Genomic DNA, 22333 nt, shown 5'->3' on the forward strand with positions numbered 1-22333 from the left:
TTGGAAAGAGCAAAACCGTGTGTAGAAACTTTCACACTGTGATTTTTTTTTTAAGTTCTGGGACACATGTGCAGAACGTGCAGGTTTGTTACATAGGTATATATGTGCCATCGTGATTTGCTGCACCTTTCAACCCATCATCTAGGTTTTAAGCCCTGCATGCATTAGGTACTTGTCCTAATGCTCTCCCTCCCCTTGGCCTCCACCCGCTGACAGGCCCTGGTGTGTGATGTTAATTTTTTTTTTTTTTTTTGAGACGGAGTTTTGCTCTTGTCACCCGGGCTGGAGTGCAATGGCATGATCTCAGCTCACTGCAACCTCCACCTCCTGTGTTCAAGCCATTCTCCTGCCTCAGCATGCCAAGTAGCTGGGATTACAGGTATACACCACCATGCCCAGCTAATTTTTGTATTTTTAGTAGGGATGGGGTTTCACGATGTTGGTCAGGCTGGTCTTGACCTCCTGACCTCAGGTGATCCACCCGCCTTGGCCTCCCAAAGTGCTTGGATTACAGGCATGAGTCACAGCACCCAGCCCTCACACTGTGAAATTTTATCCAAGAAAGAACATGGGAGCTCAACAGAAAAAGTGAAAGAAAGTTTGGATACTTTGAAAGAAACTGTGGACAGCTGCCTGACCCAAGGGTCCAGCAGAAAACTGCAAATCTTGGTTGGGCACAGCATTTTGGGAGGCCAAGGTGGATGGGATTGCTTGACTCAGGAGTTCAAGATCAGTCTGAGCACCATTGCAAGACCCCTGATTTTTACTAAGAAAACAAACAACAACAACAACAACAACAACAAAACAAGCATGGTGGTACGTGCTTGTAGTCCCAAGTATTCAGGAGGTGGAGGTGGAAGGATCACTTGAGCCCAGGAGTCAAAGCTACAGTGAGCTGAGATTGAGGTTGCAGTGTGCCATGATCATGCCACTGCACTCCACCTAGAAGACAGAGTAAAACCCCATTTAAGAAAGAAGAGAAAGAAAGAGAGAAAGAGAGGAAATGAAAGGAAAAGAACGGAGAGGAGAGGGAGAGGGAGGGGGAGAGGGAGAGGGAGAAAGAAAGAGTGGGGTGGGAAGGAGAGAGGAGAAGGAAGAAAAAATGGAAGGAAAGAAGGAAGGAAGGAAGGAAAGAAGGAAGGAAGGAGAAACCGTAAGTCTTCATAGAGTGAAGTAGGAGAGACTATCTTGATGATACACATTCCCACCAGGGAACTGGGCAATCCAGGCCACAGGAGAGTTCCTTGACACTACCCAGCACTGGATCTTACTTGGTGAGAGAGGGGAGTCTTCAGAAAAAAAGTAGCATTTTGCAGAAAAAAATGTAGCATTTTGCATAACTCTTAGACCCCAGTGTCAACAGAAAAGAAAAAGCCATCTCTGATCCTAATTCCAGGGTACCTTGGGGAAATCTGCCAGCCAACTCAGGCAGTAGTCACATGCTGGGAGAGGCTGCCAACTGAGATTTGCAATGTAATCTAGAGTGAAGATAAACCCCCAAGGACAAAACAAGTGTTAATAAATTTTAAAAAATTGAAATCATATCAAATATCTTCTCAGACCACAGTAGAATAAAACTAGAAATGATTTCTGATGGGAACTCTCAAAATTATACAAATACATGGAAATTAAACCACCTGATTCTGAATGATCTTTGGATTCAATTATGAAATTAAGATGGAAAGCAAAAAGTTTGTAGAAATGAATGAAAATAGAGACACAACATACCCAAACCTCTGGGATGCAGAGAAAAAAGTTCTAAGAGGGGAGATTTTATCATTAAATACCTATGTAAAAAACATAAGAAGATCACTAATTAATATCCTAACACTGCACCTCTAGAAACTAGAAAAACAAGAAAAAACCCAACCAATGCCAGCAAAAGAGAGATAACAAAGATCAAATTAGATCTAAGTAAAAATGAGACAAAAATACAATACAATGGATTAACTAAATGAAAAGTTGGTTCTTTCAAAAGATAAACAAAACTGATAGCCCACTAGCTATAATAAACAAGAAAAGAAGATAGAAGATTCAAATAAGCACAGTGAGAAATGAAAAAGGAGACATTACAACTGATACCACATAAATACAGAAGGTAATCAAAAACTGCTATGAACATGTCTATGCTCACAAACTAGGAAACATAAAGAAAATGAGTAAATTCCTAAAAACATACAACCTACCAAGATTAAACCAGGAAGAAATAGAATCCTCAACTGATCAATAACAGGTAGTGAGTCAGTAATTAAAAACATATTTCTCCACCTGCCAAGAAAAAGCCCAGGACCAGATGGAATTGCAGCTGAATTCTTCAAGATATACAAGATAAAACTGGTACATATTCTCTTGAAAATGTTCCAAAATTAGAGGAGGACAAAATCCTCTCTAACTCAATCTACAAAGCCAATATCATTGTGATACCAAAGCCAGACAAGGAAACAACAAAAAAAGAAAGCTACAAACCAATATATCTGAAGAACATCGATGCAAAACTTCTCAACAAAATAGTAGCAAATTGAATCCAACAGCACATCAAAAAGATAATACACCACAATTAAGTGGGTTTTATTTCAGAAACGCAAGGATAGTACAACATATGCAAATCAGTAAATGTGATTCACCACATAAACAGAATTAAAAAACAGAAACCATATGATCCTCTCAATAGATGCAGAAAAAGCATTTGATAAAATTCAGCAATTTTTATAATAAAAACATTCAACAAACTAGGCATAGAAGGAACATACCTCAAAATAAGAAAGCCATACATGGCAAATCCACAGTCAACATCATACCAAATGGGGAAAGTTGAAATATTTCCCCTAAAAACTGAAACAAGACAAGAATGCCCACTTTCACCACTCCTATTCAACATAGTATGGAAGTTCTAGCCAGAGCAATCAGGCAAAAGAAAGAAAAAAAAATCCAAATTTGGAAAGAGACAGTCAAATTATCTTTGTTTGCTGATTATATGATCTTTCACCTAGAAAACTCTAAAGGTTCTGCCAAAAGATTCCTAGTTTAATAAATGACTTCAATAAAGTTTGAGAATACAATATCTATGTACTTCAATAAAGTTTGAGAGTACAATATCAATGTACAAAAATCAGTAGCATTTCTATTCACCAATTAGGAGAAGCTGAGTACCAAATCAAAAACTCAATCCCATTTACAATAACTACATAAATATAAAATAGCTAGAAATACATTTAACCAATGTGATGAAGCCTCTCTACAAGGCTTTGTTTGTTTCTTTTCACTGTTTTTTCTCTAATCTTGTCTTCTCACTTTATTTCATTAATTTGATCTTCAATCACGGATATCCTTTCTTCTGCTTGATCGAATCGGCTATTGAAGCTTGTGTATGATTCATGAATTTCTCGTACTGTGGTTTTCAGCTCTATCAGGTCATTTAAGGTCTTCTCTATACAGTTATTCTAGTTAGCCATTCATCTAACCTTTTTTCAAGGTTTTTAGCTTCCTTGCTATGGGTTAGAACATGCTCCTTTAGCTAGGAGAAGTTTGTTATTACCAACCTTCTGAAGGTTGGTAAATAAACTGTAGAAGACAAAGATAAATGGTGAAATTTCCCAAGCTCATGGGTTGGAAGAATCAATATCATTAAAATGAATACATGGCACAAAGCGATCTACAGACAATGCAGTGCTTATCAATATATTATTATTTTACACAGTTAGAAAAATAATCCAAAAATAAAAACATAACCAGAAAATAAAAGAGTCCAAATAGCCATCCTAAGCACAAATAGCACAACTGGAAGCATCATATTACCTTACTTCAAATTATACCACAAGATTATAGGAACCAAAACAACATGGTACTGAAATAAAAATAGACACATGAGATAAATAAAACAGAAGAGAGAACCCAGACATTAAGCCACATACCTGCAACCAACTGATTTTTATAAAGTTGACAATAAAACATACACTGTGGCAAGGACACCCTATTCAATAAATAGTGCTGTGAAAATTGGATAGCCATATGCAGAAGAATGACACTAAGCTCCTATGTCTCACCATGTATAAAAATTAACTCAAGATGGATTAAATACTTAAATTATAATACCTGTAATTATAAAAACTTTATTTAAAGAAAGCTTTGGAAAAAGTTCTCTCGACATTAGCCTTGGCAAAGAGTTTATAACTAAGACCTCAAAAGCAAATGCAACAAAAACAAAAGTAGGCTAATGGGATTCAATGAAACTAAAAAGCTTCTGCATGGCAAAAGATACAGAGAGAACAGACAGCATACAAAATGGGAGAAAGTATTTGCAAACTATGCATTTGACAAAGGAGTAAGATCCAGACACAAACAACTGAAGAGATAAAAGCAAATAACCCCATTAAAAAGTGGTCAAAAGACATTAGTAGACATTTTTCACAAGAAGATGTACAAATGGTCAACAAGCATGTTAAAAAAAAGTTTGACATAACTAATCATCAGAAAAAGCAAATTAAGACCACAATGAAATATCATCTTATACCAGTAACAATGGCTACTATTAAATGTCAAAAAAAAAAAGATGTTGGCAAAAATGTAAAGAAAAGTGAATAATTATACACTGCTGCTTGGAATGTTTATTAGTAGAGTCCCCATGGAAAAAGTATAATTTCTCATAAAGCCAAATTAATTTCTTAAAGAACTAAAAATAAAACTACCACTCAACCCAGAAATCTTACTACTGGATATCTACCCAAAAGAAAGGAAATCATTATATCAAAAAGATACCTGTTTATAATAGCACTATTCACAAAAGCAAAGATATGGAATCATCGTAAGTGTCCGCCATCAACAGATGATTGGATAAAGAAAATGTCACACACACACACACACACACACACGCACACACGGAATACAATTCAGCCATAAAAAAGAATAAAATCATGTCATTTGAAGCAACATGGGTGGAACTTGGAACTGCAGGCCATTATATTAAGTGAAATAATTCAGAAACAGATAGTCAAATACCAGACGTTCTCACTTATAAGTGGGAGCTAAATAATGTATACATATGGACACAGAGAGTGGAATAATATACATTGGAGACTCTGAGAGATGGGAGGGTGGAAGAATTTTGAGAGAAGAGAAATTACTAATGGATAAAATATACACTATTAAGGTGATGATTACACTAAAAGCCCAAACTTCATCACTATGCAATATATCCATGTAACAAAACTGCAATAATACCCCCTAATCTATAAAAACAAAATAAAATAAAGAAATAAAAGATATTCAGGAGACATGAAAACTAAATAAATAAATCTATAAAATAAATAAAAATGCAACTGTAGCTAGATAAACGAAACCTCTAGCCTTCTTTTATAAGCTCATCATAAGTTTTTTTGACCAGTTGATAACCCTGACAATTCTGTCTCCTGAACTAGAAAGTATAAAATGACCAACAGTACAATAGGGACATGGGGTGTTTGGGAATTCTTCTTCTTATTATTATTATTATACCTTAAGTTCTAGGGTGCATGTGCAGAGCATGCAGGTTTTTTACATAGGTATACATATGCCATGTTGGTTTGCTGCACCCATCAACTCATCATTTACATTAGCTATTTCTCCTAACGCTCTCCCTCCCCCAGCCCTCCACTGTCCAACAGGCCCCAGTGTGTGATGTTCCCCTCTCTGTGTACATGTGTTCTCATTGTTCAATTCCCACGTATGAGTGACAACATGAGGTGTTTGGTTTTTTGTCCTTGTGATAGTTTGCTGAGAATGATGGTTTCCAGCTTCATCCATGTACCTGCAAAGGACATGAACTCATCCTTTTTTATGGTTGCATAGTATTCCATGGTGTATATGTGCCACATTTTCTTTATCCAGTCTAGTATTGATGGACATTTGGGTGGGTTCCAAGTCTTTGCTATTGTGAATAGTGCCGCAGTAAACATACATGTGCAAGTGTCTTTATACTAGCATGATTTATATTCCTTTGGGTATACATCAAACAATGGGATTGCTAGGTCAAATGGTATTTCTAGTTCTAGATCCGTGAGGAATTGCCACACTGTCTTCCACAATGGTTGAACTAATTTACACTCCAAAAACAGCATAAAAGCATTTCTGTTTCTCCACATCGTCTCCATTATCTGATGTTTCCTGACTTTCTAATGATCGCCATTCTAACTGGTGTGAGATGGTATCTCATTGTGGTTTTGATTTGCATTTTTCTGTTGACCAGTGATGATGAGCATTTTTTCATATGTCTGTTGGCTGCATAAATGTCTTCTTTTGAGAAGTGTCTGTTCATATCCTTTGCCCACTTTTTGATGGGGTTTTTTGTTTTTTTTCTTGTAAATTTGTTTAAGTTCTATTAGCCCTTTGTCAGATGGATAGATTGCAAAAATTTTCTCCCATTCTGTAGGTTGCCTGTTCACTCTGTTGGTAGTTTCTTTTGCTGTGCAGAAGCTCTTTAGTTTAATTAGATCCCACTTGTCTATTTTGGCTTTTGTTGCTATTGCTTTTGATGTTTTAGTCATGAAGTCTTTGCCCATGCCTATGTCCTGAATGGTATTGCCTAGGTTTTCTTCTAGGGTTTTTAAGGTTCTAGGTCTTACATTTAAGTCTTTAATTCATCTTGAGTTAATTTTTGTGTAAGGTGTAAGGAAGGGATCCAGTTTCAGCTTTCTACATATGGCTAGCCAGTTATCCCAGCACCATTTATTAAATAGCAAATCCTTTCTCCATTGCTTGTTTTTGTTAGGTTTGTCAAAGATCAGATGGTTGTAGATGTGTGATGTTATTTCTGAGGCCTCTGTTCTGTTTCATTGGTCTATATCTCTGTTTTGGTACCAGTATCATGCTGTTTTGGTGACTGTAATCTTGCAGTATAGTTTGAAGTCTGGTAGTGTAATGCCTCCAGCTTTGTTCTTTTTGCTTAGGATTGTCTTGGCTATGCGGGCTCCTTTCTGGTTTCATATGAAATTTAAAGTAGTTTTTTCTGGTTTTCTGAAGAAAGTCATTGGTAGCTTGATGGGGATAGCATTGAATCTATAAATTACCTTGGGCAGTATGGCCATTTTCACGATATTGATTCTTCCTACCCATGAGCATGGAATGTTCTTCCATTTGCTTCTGTCCTCTTTTATTTCATTGAGCAGTGATTTGTAGTTCTCCTTAAAGAGGTCCTTCACATCCCTTGTAAGTTGGATTCCTAGGTATTTTATTCTCTTAGGAGCAATTAGGAATGAGAGTTCACTCATCGTGTGGCTGTCCGTTTGTCTGTTCTTGGTGTATAGGAATGATTGTGATTTTTGCACATTGATCTTGTATCATGAGATTTTGCTGAAGTTGCTTATCAGCTTAAGGAGATTTTGGGCTGAGATGATGGGGTTTTCTAAATATACAATCATGTCACCTGCAAACAGAGACAATTTGACTTCCTCTTTTCCTGTTTGAATATGCTTTATTGCTTTCTCTTGCCTCATTGCCCTGGCCAATGCTACGTTGAACAGCAGTGGTGAGAGACGGCATCCCTGTCTTGTGCCAGTTTTCAAAGGGAATGCTTCCAATTTTTGCCTATTTAGTATGATATTGGCTGTGGGTTTGCTCTAAGTAGTTGTTATTATTTTGAGATATGTTCCATCAATACCTAGTTCATTGAGAGTATTTAGCATGAAAAGCTGTGAATTTTGTCGAAGACCTTTTCTGCATCTAATGAGATAATCATATGATTTTTTCGTTGGTTCTGTTTATGTGACAGATTACATTTATTGATTTGCATATGTTGAACCAGCCTTGCATCCTAGGGATGAAGCCGACTCGTTTGTGTTGGATGAGGTTTTTGATGTGCTTCTGGATACAGTTTGACAGTATTTTATTGAGGATTTTTACATCAATCTTCATGTGCATATTGGCCTAAAATTCTCTTTTTTTTATGTGTCTCTGCCAGGATTTGGTACCAGGATGATGCTGGCCTAATACAATGAGTTAGGGAGGACTCCTGTTTCTATTGAAGCTTCTATTGAAGCTGGAAACCATCATTCTAAGCAAACTATTGCAAGGACAAAAAACCAAACACCGCATGTTCTCACTCATAGGTGGGAATTGAACAATGAGAACACATGGACACAGGAAGGGGAACATCACACACTGGGGCCTGTTGTGGGGTGGGGGGAGGGGGGAGGGATAGCATTAGGAGATATACCTAATGTTAAATGACGAGTTAATGGATGCAGCACACCAACATGGCACATGTATACATATGTAACTAACCTGCACGTTGTGCACATGTACCCTAAAACTGAAAGTATAAAAAAAAAAAGGAAATAGCTTCAGAAGAAATGGTACCAGTTCCTCTGTGTACCTCTGGTACAATTAAGCTGTGAATCTGTCTGCTCCTGGACTTTTTTTGGTTGGTAAGCTATTAATTATTGCCTCAATTTCAGAACCTGTTATTGGTCTATTCAGAGATTCAACTTCTTCCTGGTTTAGTCTTGGGAGGGTGTATGTGTCCAGGAGTCTATCCATTTCTTCTAGATTTTCTAATTTATTTGCGTAGAGTTGTTTATAGTATTCTCTGATGGTAGTTTGTATTTCTCTGAGATCGGTGGTGATATCCCCTTTATCATTCTTTATTGAGTCTATTTGATTCTTCTCTCTTTTCTTCTTTATTAATCTGGGTAGTGGTCTATTTACTTTGTTGATCTTTCGAAAAAAACAGTTTCTGGATTCATTGATTTTTTGAAGGGTTTTTTGTTTCTCTATGTCCTTCAGTTCTTCTCTGGTCTTAGTTATTTCTTGTTTTCTCCTAGCTTTTGAAGTGTTTGTTCTTGCTTCTCTAGTTCTTGAAATTGTGACATTAGGGTGTTGATTTTAGATCTTTCCTGCTTTCTCTTGTGGCCATTTAGTGCTATAGATTTCCCTCTACACACTGCTTTAAATGTATCCCAGGGATTCTTGTACGTTGTATGTTTGTTCTCATTGGTTTCAAAGAACATCTTTATTTCTGCGTTCATTTTGTTACTTACTCAGTAGTCATTCAGGAGGAGGTTATTCAGTTTCCATGTAGTTGTACGGTTTTCAGTGAGTTTCTTAATTCTGAGTTCTAATTTGATTGCTCTGTAGCCTGAGAGACAGTTTTTGTTATTTCTGATCTTTTACATTTTCTGAGGAGTGTTTTACTTCCATTTGTGTGGTCAGCTTTAGAATAAGTTCAATGTGGTGCCGAGAAGAATGTATATTCTGTTGATTTGGGGTGGATAGCTCTGTAGATGTCTATTAGGCCTGCTTGGTCCAGAGCTGAGTTCAATTCCTGGATATCTTTGTTAATTTTCTGTCTCATTGATCTGTCTAATATGGACAGTGGGGTGTTAAAGTCTCCCATTATTATTGTGTGGGAGTCTAAGTCTCTTCGTGGGTCTCTAAGAACTAGCTCTGTTAATCTGGGTGCTTCTGTATTGAGTGCATATATATTTAGGATAGTTATCTCTTCTTGTTGAATTGATCCCTTTATCATTATGTATTGCCCTTCTTTGTCTTTTTTTAATCTTTGTTGGTTTAAAGTCTGTTTTATCAGAGACCAGGATTGAAACTCTTGTTATTTTTTTTTTTTTTTTTTTTTTTGCTTTCCAATTGTTTGGTAGACCTGCTTCTATCCCTTTATTTTGAGCCTATGTGTGTCTTTGCATGTGAGATGGGTCTCCTGGATACAGTACACCGATGGGTCTTGGCTCATTATCCAATTTGCCACTCTGTGTCTTTTAATTGGGGCATTTAGCCCATTTACATTTAAGGTTAATATTGTTATGTGTGAATTTGATTCTGTCATTATGTTGCTAGCTGGTTATTTCACCCACTAATTGATGCAGTTTCTTCATAGCATGGATGGTCTTTACAATTTGGCATGTTTTTGCCGTGGCTGGTACTGGTTGTTCCTTTCCATGTTTAGTGCTTCCTTCAGGAATTCTTGTAAGACAGGCCTATTGGTGACAAAATCTCTCAGCATTTGCTTGTCTGTAAAGAATTTTATTTCTCCTTCACTTATGAAGCTTAGTTTGGCTGAATATGAAATTCTGGGTTGAAAATTCTTTTCTTTAGGAATGTTGAATATTGGCCCCTACTCTCTTCTGGCTTGTAGGGTTTCTGCTGAGACATCTGCTATTAGTCTGATGGGCTTCCCTTTGTGGGTAGCCAGACCTTTCCCTCTGGCTGTTCTTAACATTTTATCCTTCATTCCAACCTTGGTGAATCTGACAAATATGTGTCTTGGGTTGATAATCTCGAGGAGTATCTTTGTGGTGTTCTCTGTATTTCCTCTGAATTTCAATGTTGGCCTGCCTTGCTAGGTTGGGGAATTTCTCCTATATAATATCCTGCAGAGTGTTTTCCAACTTGGTTCCATTCTCCCTGTCACTTTCAGGTGCACCAATCAAACATAGATTTGGTCTTTTCATATAGTTCCATATTTCTTGGAGGCTTTGTTTGTTTCTTTTCACTCTTTTTCCTCTAATCTTGTCTTCTCACTTTATTTCATTAATTTGATCTTCAATCACTGATATCCTTTCTTCTGCTTGATCAAGTCAGCTATTGAAGCTTGTGTATGATTCATGAATTTCTTGTACTGTGGTTTTCAGCTCTATCGGGTCATTTAAGGTCTTCTCTATACAGTTATTCTAGTTAGCCATTCGTCTAACCTTTCTTCAAGGTTTTTAGCTTCCTTGCTATGGGTTAGAACATGCTCCTTTAGCTTGGAGAAGTTTGTTATCACCAACCTTCTGAAGTCTACCTCTGTCAACCTGTCAAACTCATTCTCCATCCAGTTTTGTTCCCTTGCTGGTGAGGAGTTGTGTTCCTTTGGAGGGGAAGAGGCATTCTTGTTTCTGGAATTTTCAGCCTTTCTGCTCTGGTTTCTCCCCATCTTTGTGATTTTATCTATCTTTGGTCTTTGATGTTGGTGACCTATAGATGGGGTTTTGGTGCGGATGTCATTTTTGTTGATGTTAACACTATCCCTTTCTGTTTGTTAGGTTTTCTTCTAACATACCGGCTCCTCAGCTGCAGGTCTGTTGGAGTTTGCCAGAGGTCCACTCCAGACCGTTTGCCTGGGTATCACCAGCGCAGGCTGCAGAATAGCAAATATTTCTGCCTGACCCTTCCTCTGGAAGCTTCATCTCAGAGGGGCACTCGCCTTTATGAGGTGTCAGTCAGCCCCTACTGGGAGGTGTCTCCCAGTCAGACTATACGTGGGTCAGGGACCCACTTGAGGAGGCAGTCTGTCCCTTATTGGATCTCAAACACTCTTCTGGGAGAACCACTGCTCTCTTCAGAGCTGTCAGGCAGGGACGTTTAAGTCTGCAGAAGCTGTCTGCTGTCTTTTGTTCAGATATGCCCTGCCCCCAGAGGTGGAATCTAGGGAGGCAGTAGGCCTTGCTGAGCTGTGGTGGTCTCTGCCCAGTTCTAGTTTCCCTGCCACTTTGTTTACACTGTAAGCATAGAACTGCCTACTCAAGCTTCATCAATGATAGATGTCCCTTCCCTCACCAAGCTTCAGCATTCCAGGTCAATCTCAGACTACTGCACTAGCAGCAAGCAAGGCTCCATGGGTGTGGGACCCACAGAGCCAGGCACAGGAGAGACTCTCCTGGTCTGCTGGTTGTGAAGACTGTGGGAAAAGACCAGCATTTGGGCAGCAGTGTACTGATCCTCCAGGTACAGTCACTCACAGCTTACCTTGACTAAAAAAGGGAAATCTCCCCACCCCTTGCACATCCCAGGTGGGGTGACACCCCACCCTGCTTCTGCTCACCCTCTATGGGCTGCACCCACTGTCCAACCAGTCTCAATGAAATGAAGTAGGTACCTCAGTTGGAAATGCAGAAATCACCCACCTTCTGCATCGATCTCACTGGGAGTTGTAGACTGGAGCTGTTCCTATTCAGCCGTCTTGGAAGCAACCTGTTTGGGAATTCTTAATTCCAAAAAGCAGGATCAGCAGAAGCTAGGGAGGATGGTACATATAAAATAAGATGCTTGACATAAGGAGATCCCCAAAAGAGTATGAACCAACACAAATGCCAGAACATCAAAAAGGCAAGAGAACCCAATAGATAAAGTCACCTACTTCAACACTTTTGTTATAACACTGCAGGTCAAGTATCTTTTTAAAGGTCAAAGTAGAGTCACATTCAACTTACAGTTTTAGATATCACTCATTTTTTTTCACTAGCTCCTCTTTTTTGCAGCCTTGTGTAGACTCTAAGCATCCATAGATTTCATTTGTACTGCAGAGAGACTAAACATACTAACAAAACATGACCAGACCATATATAAAGTTAGAACTCTGATTCACAACCTGCAGCAACGTGCCTAGGAAACCAGTCCATTTTCTACAGTGACCAACACAGGAAGCCAACTATCTATGTCAAACTTGTAGAAAGTCTGGCTACCATTTCTCCTAAGTGGCCCAGAAAGCCAAATAATAACCCCTGGAATAATTGTTCCCAAATGGCCTGGGAATGATTGATAACTTATAGCCTCCCTAATCTTGGAGAAGTTTTAAATTTAGGGCCTGCTTTCAACTTAAGACCAAAAAGAGAAAGTCAAATATGCATCTCTAGCCAATCACCTACGATGCTCCACTTCCAGTTAACCTGCCTACAGCTTCTCCATGCCAACAGCCTCTAACAAGGACATATTTGAAGCCTTCCATTTTTTCACTATAAAACTTTTACACTTCTCTGCCTGCCTTTGAGTGTCTGCCAAAATGCAAGTGATGATAGTTGACTCCCTTTCTATAGCAAATTCTGAATAAATAGACTTTTCTTGTTCTCATGCCATTGGTCTTTACTTATTTCCACACTGCTCTACAGGTCTTGACTCCAACAGCCAGAGTGATCTTCTCAAAGCGTAAACATAATCACATCACTTTCATTATCCCATACCTACTTAAAATACACAAATGGCTTCCCATGACATTTTTTGTTTGTTTGTTTCTTTTGAGATGGAGTCTGGTTCTGTCACCCAGGCTGAAGTGCAGTGGCACAATCTTGGCTCACTGCAACCTCTGCATCCTGGGTTCAAGTGATTCTCCTGCCTCAGCCTCCCGAGTCACTGGAACTACAGAGTGCACCACCACACCCGGCTAATTTTTGGATTTTTAGTAGTGATGGGGATTCGCCATGTTGGCTAGGCTGGTCTCAAACTCTTGAACTCAAGCGATCTGCCCACCTTGACCTCTCAAAGTGGTGGGATTACAGGTGTGAGCCACCGCACCCAACCCTGTGACATTTTTAATAAACTTTATTTTTAGAACAGTTTGATTTACAAAAAAAGTGAAGATAACACAGAGTTTCCATATGTTCAGCACCTATTTTCTCCCAATATGAACTTCTTATAGTAGCAAAAGAATGCCTTATTTTATTTCATTTACTTTATTGTCCTTTTCAGATATTTTGTTTTTTAAAATTGAAGATTTGTGGCAACCTTGTATCAAGCAAGTCTTCCAGCACAATTTTTCCAAGAGCATGTGATCACATCATATCTTCATGTCACATTTTGGTAATTCTCACAACATTTTAAACATTTTCACTAATATATCTGCTATGGTGATTTGTGATTAGTGATATTTGATGTTACTATTGTAATTGCTTGGGGGTGCCACAAACCACAGGGGATTGTGAGCTTAATGAATGTTGTGTGTGTTCTGACTGCTCCACCAAGAAGCTGTTTCCCATTTTTCTCCTTGTCCTAAGAACCCCATATTCCTGGAGACCTTGAGACACAATATTTAAATTAGGCCAAGTAATAACCTTACAATGGTCTCCAAGAGTTCCAGTGAAAGGAAGAGTCACACAACTTGTATTTAAAATCAAAAGCTAAAAAGGATTAAGCTTACTGAGGAAGGCATGTTGAAACTCAAGATAGGTTGAAAGCTAGGCCTCTTGAACCAAATAATTAACAAAGTTGAAAATGCAGAAGAGGGAGTTCACTCATGATTTGGCTCTCTGTTTTTCTGTTATTGGTGTATAAGAATGCTTGTGATTTTTGCACATTGATTTTGTATCCTGAGACTTTGCTGAAGTTGCTTATCAGCTTAAGGAGATTTTGGGCTGAGAGAATGGGGTTTTCTAGATATACAATCATGTCATCTGCAAACAGGGACAATTTGACTTCCTCTTTTCCTAATTGAATACCCTTTATTTCCTTCTCCTGCCTAATTGCCCTGGCCAGAACTTCCAACATTATGTTGAATAGGAGTGGTGAGAGAGGGCATCCCTGTCTTGTGCCAGTATTCAAAGGGAATGCTTCCAGTTTTTGCGCATTCAGTATGATATTGGCTGTGGGTTTGTCATAGACAGCTCTTATTAGTTTGAGATACATCCCATCAATACCTAATTTATTGAGAGTTTTTAGCATGAAGCGTTGTTGAATTTTGTCAAAGGCCTTTTCTACATCTATTGAGATAATCATGTGGTTTTTGTATTTGGTTCTGTTTATATGCTGGATTATATTTACTGATTTGCATATATTGAACCAGCACTGCATCCCAGGGATGAAGCCCACTTGATCATGGTGGATAAGCTTTTTGATGTGCTTCTGGATTCGGTTTGCCAGTATTTTATTGAGTATTTTTGCATCAATGTTCATCAAGGATATTGGTCTAAAATTTTCTTTTTTGGTTGTGTCTCTGCCCAGCTTTGGTATCAGGATGATGCTGGCCTTATAAAATGAGTTAGGGAGGATTCCCTCTTTTTCTATTGATTGGAATAGTTTCAGAAGGAATGGAACCAGTTCCAAAATCCCATTCACAATTGCTTCAAAGAGAATAAAATACCTAGGAATCCAACTTACAAGGCACATGAAGGACCTCATCAAGGAGAACTACAAACCACTGCTCAATGAAATAAAAGAGGATACAAAGAAACGGAAGAACATTCCATGCTCATGGGTAGGAAGAATCAATATTGTGAAAATGGCCATACTGCCCAAGGTAATTTATAGATTCAATGCCATCCCAATCAAGCTAGCAATGACTTTCTTCACAGAATTGGAAAAAAGTACTTTAAAGTTGATATGGAACCAAAAAAGAGCCCACATCACCAAGTCAATCCTAAGCCAAAAGAACAAAGATGGAGGCATCACGCTACCTGACTTCAAACTATACTACAAGGCTACAGAATTTAGTACCAAAACAGCATGGTACTGCTACTAAAACAGAGACATAGATCAATGGAACTGAACAGAGCCCTCAGAAATAATGCCACATATCTACAACTATCTGATCTTTGACAAATCTGAGAAAAACAAGCAATGGGGAAAGGATTTCCTATTTAATAAATGGTGCTGGGAAAACTGGCTAGCCAGATGTAGAAAGCTGAAACTGGATCCCTTCCTTACACCTTATACAAAAATTAATTCAAGATGGATTAAAGACTTAAACGTTAGACCTAAAACCATAAAAACCCTAGAAGAAAACCTAGGCATTACCATTCAGGACATAGACATGGGCAAGGACTTCATGTCTAAACCACCAAAAGCAATGGCAACAGAAGCCAAAATTGACAAATGGGACCTAATTAAACTAAAGAGCTTCTGCACAGGAAAAGAAACTACCATCAGAGTGAACAGGTAACCTACAAAATGGGACAAAATTTTTGCAACCTACACATCTGACAAAGGGCTAATATCCAGAATCTACAATGAACTCAAACAAATTTACAAGAAAAAATCAAACAACCCCCTCAAAAAGTGGGTGAAGGACATGAACAGACACTTCTCAAAAGAAGACATTTATGCAGCCAAAAAACACATGAAAAAATGCTCACCATCACTGGTCATCAGAGAAATGCAAATCAAACCCACCACGAGATACCATCTCACACCAGTTAGAATGGCAATCATTAAAAAGTCAGGAAACAACAGGTGCTGGAGAGAATGTGGAGAAGTAGGAACACTTTTACACTGTTGGTGGGACTGTAAACTTGTTCAACCATTGTGGAAGTCAGTGTGGCGATTCCTCAGGGATCTAGAACTAGAAATTCCATTTGACCCAGCCATCCCATTACTGGGTATATACCCAAAGGACTATAAATCATGCTGCTATGAAGACACATGCACACGTATGTTTATTGCAGCACTATTCACAATAGAAAAGACTTGGAACCAACCCAAATGTCCAATAATGATAGACTGGATTAAGAAAATGTGGCACATATACACCATGGAATACTATGCTGCCATAAAAAATGATGAGTTCATGTCCTTTGTAGGTACATGGATGAAATTGGAAATCATCATTCTCAGTAAACTATCACAAGGACAAAAAACCAAACACCACATATTCTCACTCATAGGTGGGAATTGAACAAAGAGAACACATGGACACAGGAAGGGAAACATCATACTCTGGGGACTGTTGTGGGGTGGGGAGAGGGGGGAGGAATAGCATGAGGAGATATAACTAATGCTAAATGACGAGTTGATGGGTGCAGCACAACAGCATGGCACATGTATACATGTGTAACTAACCTGCACATTGTGCACCTGTAACCTAAAACTTAAAGTATAATAATAATAAAATTAAATTAAAATTAAAATTAAAAAAAGAAAAAAAAATGCAGAAGAAATGTTCTTGAAGGAAATTTAAAGTGCTACTTCGGTGAACAGATTAATGAATAGAAATTAAATAGTTTTATTGCTGATATCAAGAGAGCTTTCGTTGTCTGGATAGAAGATCAAATCAATCGTGACATTCCCTTAAACAAAAGCCCAACACAGAGAAAGACCCTAGCTCTCTTCAAATCTGTGAAAGCTTAGAGACGTGAGGATGCTACGGAAGAAAACTTTAAAGCCAGCAGGCATTGGTTCATGAGATTTAAGGGAAGGAGCCATTTTTATAACATAAAAGGCCAAGGTAGAGCAGCAAGTATCAATGTAAATGAAACAGCCTTCTATTGGAGGAAGATGCCATCTTGGACTTCTGTAGCTATAGAAATGTCAATGCTTGGCTTCAAAGTTTCAAATAATGGGCTGACTCTTATTATGGATTATTCAGATGGTGACTTTAGGTTAAAACCAATGCTAATTCACCACTCAAAAAATCATAGGGCCCTGAAGAATTATGCTAAATCTATTCTACCTGTGCTTCTTAAATGCAACAACAAGGCCTGGATGACAGCAAACTGTTTACAGCATGGTTTACTAAATATTATAAGCCCACTGTTGAGACCTGTTGCTCAGAAAAGAAATATTCATTTAAAAACATTACTGATCATTGACAATGTTGTTTTTATGCCTACTAGCATGTCATCTATTCTTCAGCCCATGAATCAGGAGCAATTTTTATTTTCAAGTCTTCTTATATAAGAAATACATTTCATAAGGCAATAGATGCCATAGATAATGATTTTTTTTTCTGGCGAATCTGGCGAATTTAATTTAAAGTAAATTAAAAACCTTCTGAAAAATTTGAAGATTATAGATGCTATTAAGAACATTCGTGATGCATGGGAGGAAGTAAAAATATCAATATTAACAGGACTTTGGAAGAAGTTGATTCTAACATTCATGGTTGACTTTGAGAGCTTTAAATTTTTAGTGGAATAAATAACTGCAGATGTGGTAGAAATAGCAAGAGAAGTCAAATCAGAAATAGAATCTGAACATTCAAATACGAAAAGAAGTCAAACTATCTCTCCTCACTGACTATATAATTCTGTACTTAGAAAACCTGAAAGACTCTTTCAGAAGGCTGCTATAACTCATAAGTGATTTTAGCAAGGTTTCAGGATACAAAATCAATCAACAGGAATGAGTAGTATTTTTATACACCAATAATACCCAGGCTGAGAGTCAAATGAAGAATACAATCCCATTTACAATAGCCATAAAGAAAATGAAATACCTAGGAATACAGCCACCCAAGGAGATGGGAATTCTCTACAAAAAGAACTATGAAACACTGCTGAAAGAAATCACAGACAACACAAATAAGTGGAAAAACATTCCATGCTCATGGATTGGAAAAATAAATATTAAAATGGCCATACTGCCCAAAGTAATTTACAGATTGAATGCTATTTCTATTAAACTACCATGTCATTCCTCACAGGATTAGAAATAAATCTACTCTAAAATTCATATGGAACCAAAAAATACCCCAAATAGTCAAAGCAATCATAAGAAATAAAAAAGCTGTAGGCATCACACTACCTGACTTAAACTATACAGTAATGCTAGAGTAATCAAAACAGCATGGTACTCCTCAAAAACAAACACATAAACCAATGTAACAGAATAGAAAACTCCAAAATAAAGCCACGTATGTACTATCATCTGATCTTTGACAAGGCTGACAAAAGCAAGCAATGGGGAAAGGGTCTATTCGATAGATTGTGCTGAGATAACTGGCTAGCCATAGGCAGAAGAATGAAGCTAAAGCCTTATCTTTCACCATATAGAAAAATTAACTCAAGATGAATTAGAAATTTAAATGTAAGACCTCAAACTATAAAAATCCCAGAAGTCAACCTAGGGAATTCCCTTCTTGACATGAACCTTGACAAAGAATATGTGGCTAAGGCCCCAGAAACAATTGCAACAGAAACAAATATTGACAAGTGGATCCTAATTAAACTAAAGACCTTCTGCACAGCAAAAGAAACGATCAACAGAGTAAACAGAAAACCAGCGGAATGAGAGAAAATATTCTCAAAGTATGCATCCAACAATGGTCTAATATGAAGAATCTATGCAAAACTTAAACAAATCAACAAGCAAAAAGCAAAAGCTCCATTAAAAATTGGCAAAGGATATGAATAGACACTTCTCAAAAGAAGGTATACATGCGACCAACAAGCATATGAAAAAAAAATGGTCAGCAGCACTAACTATAAGAGAAATTCAAATAAAAACCACAAGGAGATACCATCTCTCACCAGTCAGAATGGCTGTTACTAAAAAGTCAAAAAACAGATGCTGGTGAGGCTATGGAGTAAAGGAAATGCTTATACCCTTTTGGTGGGAATGTAAATTAGTACAGCTACTCTGGAAGGCAGTTTGGAGATTTTTCAAAAAACTTAAAACAGAACTTCCAACTGATTCAGCAATCCCATTGTTGCATATATATACGTAAAGAAAAAAAAATTACTCTACCATAAAGACACACATATGCATATATTCATAGCAGCCGTGTTCACAACAGCAAAGACATAGAATCAACCTAAATGTCCATTAATGGCAGATTGGGTAAAGAAAATGTGGTTCATATTACCCTAAGTGAATTAATGAAGGAGGATAAAACCAAATACGACATGTTCTCTTTTATAAGTGGTAGATAAACTTTGAGTACACATGGGCACAAAGAAGATAACAATAGACACTAGCTAATTCTTGAAGGTGCAGGGTGGGAAGAGAGTGAGGGTCAAAAAACTGCCTATCAGGTACTATGCTCATTACCTGGGTGATAAAATAATCTTTACACCCAACACCTATGGCACACAATTTACCCATGTAGCAAACATGTGCATGTACTCCCTGAACCTAAAACAAAAGTTGGAATAAAAATTTAAAAAAAGGAAATTTGAATTGAAAAGTTTGAGGATTCCCTCTTGAAGGCCTCTGAAAAATGTGTTTCATAGAACAATATTTGGAAACTACTGTCCTCTTAATAATTGGGATCCTATTTTATGCTTCCTGGCATTTCCATGTTTTCCTCTCCGTTGCCCTCCTGTTTACTCACTGCAGGTATGCTCTCCACAAAGGGAATCTTGCTTTACACCTCATGAACTTTCAGACTTAGCACAAGGCCTGGCACACAGCTCATCCTCAGCCAGTGGTTTGTTTTTGCTGTTGCTGTTGTTTCAACGAAATTAAGTTAAACACCTGTCGATTTGATCTGGTGAGTCCTCAGTACCTGTTCATGAGTTGTTTGGTGAAAAATAAAAAAGATATGCAATATTTATGTCATAGAGTTACAAATAACAGCTAAAACAAAAAAAATTGCAAAAGAGGAAGTCAATTTATTTTGCAGATGACATAATCTTATATGCAAAATAAATAAATAAATAAAAAAGAAACCCTAGAGACTTCACCAAGAAAAACTCTAAGAACTGTCAATGAATTCAGTAAACTTTCAGGAGGACAGTAAATCAACATAAAAAATCAGTAGCACTTCTATAATGCAATAATTAACTAGCTGTAAAAGAAATCAAGAAAGCAATCCCATTTACAATAACTATAAGAAAAAACCCCTAGGAATAAATTTTACTAAGGAGGTGAAAGACCATGCAGAGAAAACTGGTGGAATAAATTGAAAAGGACACAAATAAATAGAAAGACATCCCATGTTCATGAATCAAAAGTATTAATATTGTTAAAATAACCATATTACCCAAAGCAATGTACAGATTCAATGTAATGTTTGTCAAAATGCCAATGACATTCTTCACAGAAATAGAAAAACAATCCTAAAATTTGTGTGGAACTACAAGAGACCCCAAATAGATACAACAAATCTGAGCAAAAAGTATGAAGCTGGAAGCATCACACTATCTGACTTCAAAAATATACAACAAAGCTATAGTAACCAAAACAGCATAGTACTGGCATACCAACAAACACATAGACCAATGGAACAGAATAGAGAACCCAGAAATTAGTCCATACATTTACAGCCAACTGATTTTTGAGAAAGATACCAAGAACATACATTGGGGAAACAACACCCTTTACAATAAATGGTTTTAGGAAAACTGGATATCCATACGCAGAAGAATAAAACTAGGTCCCTATCTCTCACCATATACAAAAATCAATTCAAAATGGATTAAAGATTTAAACATAAGACCAGAAATGTTAAAACTACTATAAGAAAACAATGGGGGAAATTTGCAGGACATTAGTCTGGACAACAATTTTATGGCTAAAACTTCAAAAGCACACATAGTAAAAACAAAAATAAACAAATGGGACTGTATTAGACTTAAAAGCTTCTGCACAGAAAAGGAAACATTCAACAGAGTGAAGAAATAACTTCTTGAATGGGAGAAAATATTGGCAAACTATTCATCTGACAGGGCACTAATAACCAGAAAATACAAGGAACTGAAATAACTCAAAGGCAAAACAATTAGAAAATAAACCCATTAAAGGGCCGAGTGCGGTGGCTCACCGCCTGTAATCCCAGCACTTTGGGAGGCTGAGGCAGGTGGATCAGGAAGTCAGGAGATCGAGACCATCCTGGCTAACACGGTGAAACCCCTTCTCTACTAAAAATACAAAAAAAATTAGCCGGGTGTGGTGGTGGGTGCCTGTAGTCCCAGCTACTCGGGAGGCTGAGGCAGGAGAATGGCATGAACCCGGGAGGTGGAGCTTGCAGTGAGCTGAGATCATGGCACTGCACTCCAGCCTAGGCAACAGAGTGAGACTGCGTCTCAAAAAAAAAAAAAAAAAAAAAAAAGAAAGAAAGAAAAAAAAAAGAAAGAAAATAAGAAAATAAACCCCCATTAAAAAGTGGGCAAATTGGTTGGGCATGGTGGTTTGTGCCTGTGATCCCAGCATTTTGAAAGACTGAGGTGGGCAGATCACTTGAGGCCAGGAGTTCAAGATCAGCCTGGGCAACATGGTGAGTCCCCACATCTACAAAAAATACAAAAATGAGCCAGGTATGATCTCAAATACCTGTAATCTCAGCTACTCTAAGAGGAAGAGGCAGGAGAATCGCTTGAACTTGGGAGGCGGATGTTGCAGTGAGCTGAGATCATGCCACCTCACTCCAGCCTGGGTGACAGAGTGATACTCTGTCTCAAAAAAAAAAATATTTTTTAAAAAGTTGGGCAAAGGATATGAATAGACATTTATTTTTGTTTTGTTGTTGTCGTTGTTTAGAGATGGAGTCTCACTCTGTTGCCCAGGTTGGAGTGCAGTGGCGCAATCTCGGCTCACTGTAACTTCTGCCTGCCGGGTTCAGGAGATGCTCCTGCCTCAGCCTCCTGAGTAGCTGAGACTACAGGTGCCTGCCACCATGTCTGGCTATTTTTTTTTTTTATTTTATTTTTGGTAAAGACAGGGCTTCACCATGTTAGCCAGGATGGTCTCGATCTCCTGACCTCGTGATCCACCCTCCTCGGCCTCCCAAAGTGCTGGGATTACAGGCATGAGCTATCGCACCCGGCCCCTGAATAGACATTTCTACACAGAAAACATACAAATGGACAACAGGCATTTGAAAAAAATGGTCAACTTCACTAGTCATCAGAGAAATGAAAATTAAAACGACAATAAGGTTATCATCTCATTCCATTTAGAGTGGCTATTATCAAAAAGACAATAGCAAGTGCTAGTGAGAATGTGGAAT

The 22333-nt window shown here is 37.9% G+C and overlaps 1 long non-coding RNA gene across 7 annotated transcripts in view; it reads right to left on the reverse strand.

Annotated features, from left to right (window-relative positions):
* The window catches only part of MIR325HG (MIR325 host gene), a 356735-nt gene that overhangs the window by 111518 nt on the left and 222884 nt on the right, over positions 1-22333 (reverse strand). The window contains exon 2 of one of the 7 annotated variants that reach the window (NR_110405.2): positions 11868-11977. The exons of the other annotated variants lie outside the window; for them this stretch is intronic. This is a non-coding gene — a long non-coding RNA (MIR325 host gene). The remainder of the gene's footprint in view (positions 1-11867; positions 11978-22333) is intronic. 7 annotated transcript variants of the gene reach the window in all.

The sequence above is a fragment of the Homo sapiens genome, chromosome X (assembly GCF_000001405.40).
Source record: "Homo sapiens chromosome X, GRCh38.p14 Primary Assembly".
Taxonomy (NCBI): Eukaryota; Metazoa; Chordata; class Mammalia; order Primates; family Hominidae; genus Homo; species Homo sapiens.